Source organism: Homo sapiens, chromosome 5 (genome assembly GCF_000001405.40).
Source record: "Homo sapiens chromosome 5, GRCh38.p14 Primary Assembly".
Taxonomy (NCBI): domain Eukaryota; kingdom Metazoa; phylum Chordata; class Mammalia; order Primates; family Hominidae; genus Homo; species Homo sapiens.
In genome coordinates, this window is record NC_000005.10 from 159437973 (window position 1) to 159445091 (window position 7119).

The window sequence follows — 7119 nt, forward strand, 5'->3', positions numbered from 1 at the left end:
AGGTGAATGCAGGGGCCTGCCTTGTGATTCCTCACCAGAGGGCAGGCATCCTCCAGCCTATGATGTTTGGGTCTCATGTCTCCATAAGAATGAGATTTTTTGTTTTCATAATTTGAAAAGTCCACAGTAGGGCACAAACATCGTGACTCTACCCTTGGCCACATCCACCTCTTCTCTTGGCCAGGCCTTTGGCTCTTTCAAGTTGTGACAGCAAAGCCCTGTCTCAGAGCTGGAGCTTGTAAATTTCAGGGCTCCCATCTGGGTCTGGAGGATAGTGGTTTCAGGGAGTGGTTTCTTTATGTGCAAAGAAAACTGCTATTCAAATCCCATCTCACTTCACATTTCAAAACTCTGCTCATAGGCCAGTGTGTGTGCACATCCGTGATTGTCAACAGGCATCCAGGGATGGGGCGGGAAGTGATGCTCCATGGCCACCATAGGTCAGATAGGAACTGGGAGGCTGACATATAATGAATTAGGCGTTGCTTCATTTTCTGATCAGCATCACCTTCAGCTGATGCTCATCTAGCAAGGCTGCCTTTGAGGAAATCTGAGCAGTGTGTAGTAATAACATATTTGAGCACTCATTACAAGCCAGGAACTACATTAAGCATGATATACACACCACCTCACTTAGTGCTCAAACAATGCTATCACAGATTTCATTACCCCTGGTTGAGAGATGGGGAAACCAAGTGGCAAAGTGGGTTGCCCCATGGCTGAGGCAAGATTCGGACCCAGGTCAGACTCTTTAAGTGTACAAATTGAACACCTGTATCTCTGACTACTGTGTGAAAAATAGAATGTAGGAGAGCAAAGACGGATGCAGAGAGACCAGTTAGGAGGCAACTGAAGTAGTCCAGGTAAGACAAAACAGTTGCTTGGACTAAGATGGTACTATGGAAGTAGTAAGAAGTGGGTGAATTCAGAATATAGTTGAAAGAAAGGCAAAACAACAGGGCTTGTCAATGGAGTGGAGGTGAGCCATATGGGAAAGAGATGAATCAAGGATAAGACCTAGACTTTTGGCCTCAGCAACAAAGTACAAGGAGGTGCCGTTTAGTGAGATGGAGTTGTTAAGGGCAGGAGAGAGTTTGGCGGTGGGTGTCCAGAGTTAACTTGGTGGGTCAATTAGACAACCATGTGGAGACATGACCAGGGGAGAGGTGGGGGAAGGAGGTGTGGATTTGTCACCAGTTTATGGATCCAATTTAAAGTCTTGGGGTGGGTGGATGAGATCATCAAATGGAGGATTATAAATAGAAAAATAGCCAAGGGCAGAACTTTGTAGAGCCTAACAATTAAAGGTCAAGTTGAGGAGGGGTAGTGGGCAGAGGAGACTGAGAAGGAATAGCAGCAGGTAGGAGGACAACCAGGTACTGATCAAAGAGGAACCATGTTTTAAGAAGGAGGGGTGATCATCTGCTCACTGGCACAGAAGGTCAAGTAAGACAAGGAGACAGTTGGCCAGTGGCTTTGGCAAAGTATAGCCCATTGTTGACTTTGACATTTCAGGAGGAATGAATGGTTTAGACCTGTCATGTTGGCTGTCCTTGAATTTCTGGGCAAGAATTCCCAAGATTATGGCGCCTAGAGATGGCAGAGCTGACATTCAGACAGTCCCAGGTTTGAACCTCAGATCTGCCAGTAGCTGTGTGACCTTGGGCAGTTACTATCCCTTCTTGAACTTCATTTTCCTCATCTATGCAATGGGAGTGATAATGCTTACAACTTGAGGCAAGGATTGAATGAAATAATAAGTAAAAACATAAAGCAGCAAATACTTAGGAGGTATTAGATATTTTTATTCTTTTTATTTTAAAAATAAAGACAGGATCTCACTCTATCACCCAGGCCGGAGTGCAGTGATATGATCATAGTTCACTGCAGCCTCGACCTCCTGGGCTCAAGTGATCCTCCTGCCTCAGCCACCTGAGTAGCTGGAACTACAGGCATGCACCACCATGCCTGGAGAATTTTTTATTTTTAGTAGAGATGGGGGTCTCACTATGTTGCCCAGGCTGGTCTTGATCTCCTGACCTCAAGTGATCCTCCCGCCTTGGCCTACCAAAGTGCTGAGATTACAGGCATGAGTTACTGTGCCTGGCTTATTATTTTAATTTTTATATATTTTTAAAACCATTGTTAGCACAAGAGTGATACCTATATTTCTGAGAAAAACCAATGACCTAATTTTGAGCAGAGCTTTATTAATGCCAGGGAATCTGACGGAAAATTCTTTGAGGGTTGAGACATTCTTTTCCCTGTGCCACCCCAAATGTCCAGCACCTAAGTAGATTTAATCCAATCAGGTCAATCCCTATTCTGAGCAGTTTTATATTGCTCCCTAGGAAGAGACCTAGATCCCTACCTGGGCTCACAAGACTGGGTAGTCTGGTTCCACCTACCTGTGCTGCCTGGTCACACACCATACTCCCCCGGCGACTCTCAGTTCCCCAACGACGGCACTGTGCTTGGTCCATGCGCTATGGGGCGCTGCACATTCTGTTGCCTCCCCTACACACTTCCTTCCCTGTCCTCTTCCCTGTGTTCATTTCTTCTTGTCTCCTGGGGCAGTGGTTACTTCCCCAGGAAGCCCTTCCTGAACTTCTGGACCAGGTCGATTCCTTTCTTAGAGGCTACCAGAGCCCCTGTTCCTCTCCTTCCTGGCACTTAACATATTTCTGGTCATACATTCTTGGTGCACATCTTAGTTTAACACCTGACTTTATCACTAGACTCTAAGCACATGGGGGCAGGAGCAGACCTGTTTTGCTCACCAGTGTGTGCCTTGTATTGAGCCCAGGGCCTGGTACACAGTAGGAGGGCAACACATAATTGTGGACTGAGTGAGTGAGTGGGTATTTAATGCAATGAATACATGAGCAGATGGCTTTCCCTTTGTAGAGCAAAGCAGGTGTCTCCAAAAGGTTGTTGGAAAGGCAAATATAATACCAAATCCTATTTCATTTACTTTAATTACAATACTAAGGAGTGGAATAAATCTTGCCCTTGAAATGTAATAAAAGCATACTTTAAAATCCCAGCTGTCTTTTTCACTGGCTTATTTTTAAAAATGATAATTTCCTGATAAGCCACAAGTAAGACCACTTAAAATAGATTCCTGACTTGGCTCGGCCACTAACTAGCTGCTGATCATAGACAAGTCACTTACACTCTGCATGTCAGCATTTGCAGTGTATGGTTCTTGTGAGGCTCTGGGTCGATGGCGTGAGAGCCCTTTGATAGCAAGCTCTTATTTATTATCCATTATTCTCAGTCTTATTAATAATAAGAAGGAACAGGCTGCGTGCCAGAGATAGTTGAGTAGATTTGCAGGGCTGGAGGATTGAGGCCACAGAGAAAAATGAAAAGAAATAAGATTGGTTGAGAAATATTTAAGGGGGGGGGGGTTGGGAAATGAAGGGTGGAGGGGACCAGAGACAATAATGGCTGGGGGTTTATGTCTATCAGGCTGAGTAAAAGGTGGGGCTGTTGGTGACCTGAATAAAATCCCTCTCATGGCCAAATTCTTAGAAACTGCACAGGGAAGGAGAGAAAGGAATCAACTCCTTGGCTCACCATGTGGTGGCATAAGAGAGATGCCGAGTGACTCCCAGGTGACCTTGGCTGATCAGAGCTGTGGCTCTGAGGTCGGGGAGGCTGGCAGCTACTGGTGAGGAGGGTGAAGCTGGTGGTGCTTGGTCCACCAGGCAAATTATGCTGCCCAGCGCAACCTGAGCTCCACCACTAGGAGGGGACACAGAAGCCCCCAGGCCTGGGAGAAGGAGCAAAGCCAGCAGGACAGGGAGGGGAGGGGTGTGGAATCCAGGCCTTCAGGGCTGGGCAGAAAATGGAAAAAATTGGGCAGCCCAGAGGCGATGGGGTCTCGAAGAGCCCAGCCCAGTTAAAGGGCAGCAGCACGTCAGCAACAAGCAGCTTGCGCTGTGTGAGGATGCGGCACCCACCGTCTCTATCTAGCTTTTCCAGAGAGGTTGCGCGTCCTTAGTTTTAAATGTGGAATCATGCCATTTGCAGAAAAACAAAAAGCAACCAAGCAAACAACAACAACAACACCTCTGCAGGCCAAACAGGACAGGTCTGATGACTGTGCCTGGGCTGCTCTTTTGTGATCTCATTTGATGCCCCACTTCGGGGCTCCAGACAGGTCCCTGCCCTCCCCGTTCCGGGGTGGGGATGGAGAAGACCATTTGACTCTGTGGGAAAGGGTCCTGTAAGCTCACCTAACCCATCTTCCATCTTTAAGAAAACCACTAGAAGTGAACAAACATAGAGTAAAATGTCAGCTCGCCGTAGGTGCTATGAATAAAGATAATGCAGGGTCAAGGGGAGAGAGAGTGATGGAAGCATTGATTTTCGGTTGGACGACCAGGAGAGGTCTCTGTATCCTTCCTCCTCCTGCGCTCTCAGCGGCTTAACAAGATTTCACCAGGTTTCCCGGGCTTCATTCATAGGTGCTAATGAGCAGCTGGGGGTTGACTGAGTAGCTACAGTAATCCAAAAGGGCTTCCCTTCCACCCTCTACATCCCTGGCCTTAGAATTAGCCTCAGCCCCAGCAAAGGTAGCAGGTGCAAAGCCAAAATCCTGATTACGAGTAAGTATTTTTGCCTCTACAGCTGGAAGCAGCTGGCCGCTGAGTCTGGGATGGGAGGAGGCTGCATGCTGCAGGACAGCAGCTGGGGGAGGGGAGGAAGCAGGAGCCACCAGCTTCTGGCCATGGTTGTTCATCTCCCGCTCAGCCTTACTCAGAGGGCACTTGACAGACATAAGGGATGTGGTCAGTCAGGGCCGGTCCCGCTGCCTCACATATGTCTTCTCTCACCCAGGTCTCCCTGCCTGAAATCTTATCATCAGACAGTAACTTTCCTGAAAGCTGCAGTGGCATCTCTAAATCTCTTCTTTTCCAAGACAGAAAACTGTGGGAGTTGTAATGCTTCCCATCTCAAAGAGAAAAAGAGTTCTCACTGTGAGCTGTAAGGCCATCTGTGATATGCAGCCCCAACTCACTGGGATGGCTACATAATTTTGGGGGCCCAGTGCAAAATGACAAATTGGCCTGCAGCATTATTGCCATCTCCCTGAGCACAGAGATTTCTGTCTTTTTGTTTTGGCTTGATGATGGCTCTATCTTCAGTGCCTGGCACCTGATAGAGGCTTACTATTTTGTTGTTAGTGTTGAATAAAAGCATAGTGTTTGAGTCATGATGTGGATGTATTGGTAGGACTTCTTTCAACATTTATTAAGTTTTTTTGGCATTGGGCTAAGGAAGTGGGGTTTCAGCCCTGGCTTCACAGGGGAATTGCTCCAGCAATTCTTAAAAATCCCAATGCCAGGCTTTACTTTGGACTAGTTATGTCAGAATCTAGTGGGGGTGTGTGAGGGGCCGTCAGCATTTTCAAGCTCCCCAGCTGATTTCAATGTGCAGCCAAGTTTGAGGACCGGTGCGCTGGCTCAACCGCACTTGCTCTCAGTGGCTGTTGTGTATTGTTAGGCAGCTTGTTAACTGCTCAGAAGGTCCAGGGCCATTTTCAGATTTTCCAGATTGTTAAATTTGAGAAGGAGGGTCTGTCCTGTTAATAAGCTTGCCAGGGAATTTTGCTTATACCAAAGTTTGCAAACCTAAACTGTTCTCAATCCTATTCATTTTACAGACAGGAAAAAAGAGACAGAGAGAGGTTAAGTAGTTTGCCCACGGTAACAAAGTAGGTAACTGGCAGAACCAGGATTTGAACCTAAGGCTTCTGAGCTTACCTAGTAGCTTCTCTGCTTTTTCTTTTTGTTTTTGTTTTTTTAAGATGGAGCCTCGCTCTGTCACCCAGGCTGGAGTGCCGTGGTGCGATCTCAGCTCACTGCAACCTCTGCCTCCCGGGTTCAAGCGATTCTCCTACCTCAGCCTCCTGAGTAGCTGGGATTACAGGTGCGCGCCACCACACCCGGCTAATTTTTGTATTTTTAGTAGCAATGGTGTTTCACCATGTTGATCAGGCTGGTCTCCAACTCCTGACCTCATGATGTGCCTGCCTCGGCCTCCTAAAGTGCTGGGATTACAGGCGTGAGCCACTGTGCCTGGCGCTTCTCTGCTTTTTCTTTGTGATAAAAATCTAAGTGTGCTCCAGGAGTTGGTTGTGAAAATAAAATAAAGATAAGGTTAGGTGCAGTGGTTCATGCCTGTAATCCCAGCACTTTGGGAGACCAAGGTGGGAGGATCACTTGAGCTCAGGAGTTTGAGACCAGCCCAGGCAACATAACCTAGTAAGACCCCACCCCCATCTCTACAAATAATAAAAAAGATAAGATTAAGAGGATATGCATGTTATATTGTATATTTTGAAGATGGAGAAGTTGGTATTTCTACTCCATGGTGAGGAAACAGGTCCAGCCTGGGGGACTAACTCCCACTCCCAGGGTCTTTGGGGCTTTAAGAGGCAGAGCTGGGATTGCAGATGTGGGCCATTTTCTCCAGACTCTTAGGTTTTGCAGGTGAATCATTCAACACCTAGGGCATCCCAGAATCCATGTTGATTGGTGCCTAATAGGCCTGTAACCAATGATGAGAAAGTGAGTGGCGGGAAGGCTGGCTAGGTGAGTGAGTGAACCAGTGAGTGTGAAGGAGTCATTTGTCTATTTCATGGATTCTTTCTATTTTTCAAGTAGAGTTGGATCACTAGAGGGCAATATCGGCCAAGAGAAAGAAGAATTCTTCACCACCGTTTCTAGGACTGGTGAAGGTAAGACATCTGTGTCTGTGGATTTAAACCAAAAAGGGAGACTCTAATTTACAGAGCAGTTAAAGTGAGCTTTGCTTTCCCCTGGGCTTTCAGGCTGATGAGAACCTTTCTCAAGCCCCATTAACACGTACAGCCACTCCAGACCTTTCTAGACTTAAAACCAACAGGGCAAACGGGAGAGGAGGGAAATCTTGGTTGGCCTGAAAAGTGGATGTTTATAGATAATAGGAGGTTTTAGAAAAAGACATTTTGTAGCTTCTCAGACTTTTACAACATTGATGGGAGTTAATGTTTCGAGAAATGGTATTATGATGAAGTTGTATGCTGAATTAATTTTCCATAAATAAGACCATACATTTCCACAGATT

The 7119-nt window shown here is 46.6% G+C and overlaps 1 annotated feature.

The window, feature by feature from the left end:
• Positions 2332-2381: a silencer, noted in NCBI's record as "silent region_16571". NCBI's record gives its function as "represses an Ori minimal core promoter by ATAC-STARR-seq in GM12878 lymphoblastoid cells {active_cell/tissue: GM12878}" and the evidence as "EXISTENCE:reporter gene assay evidence [ECO:0000049][PMID:35858748]".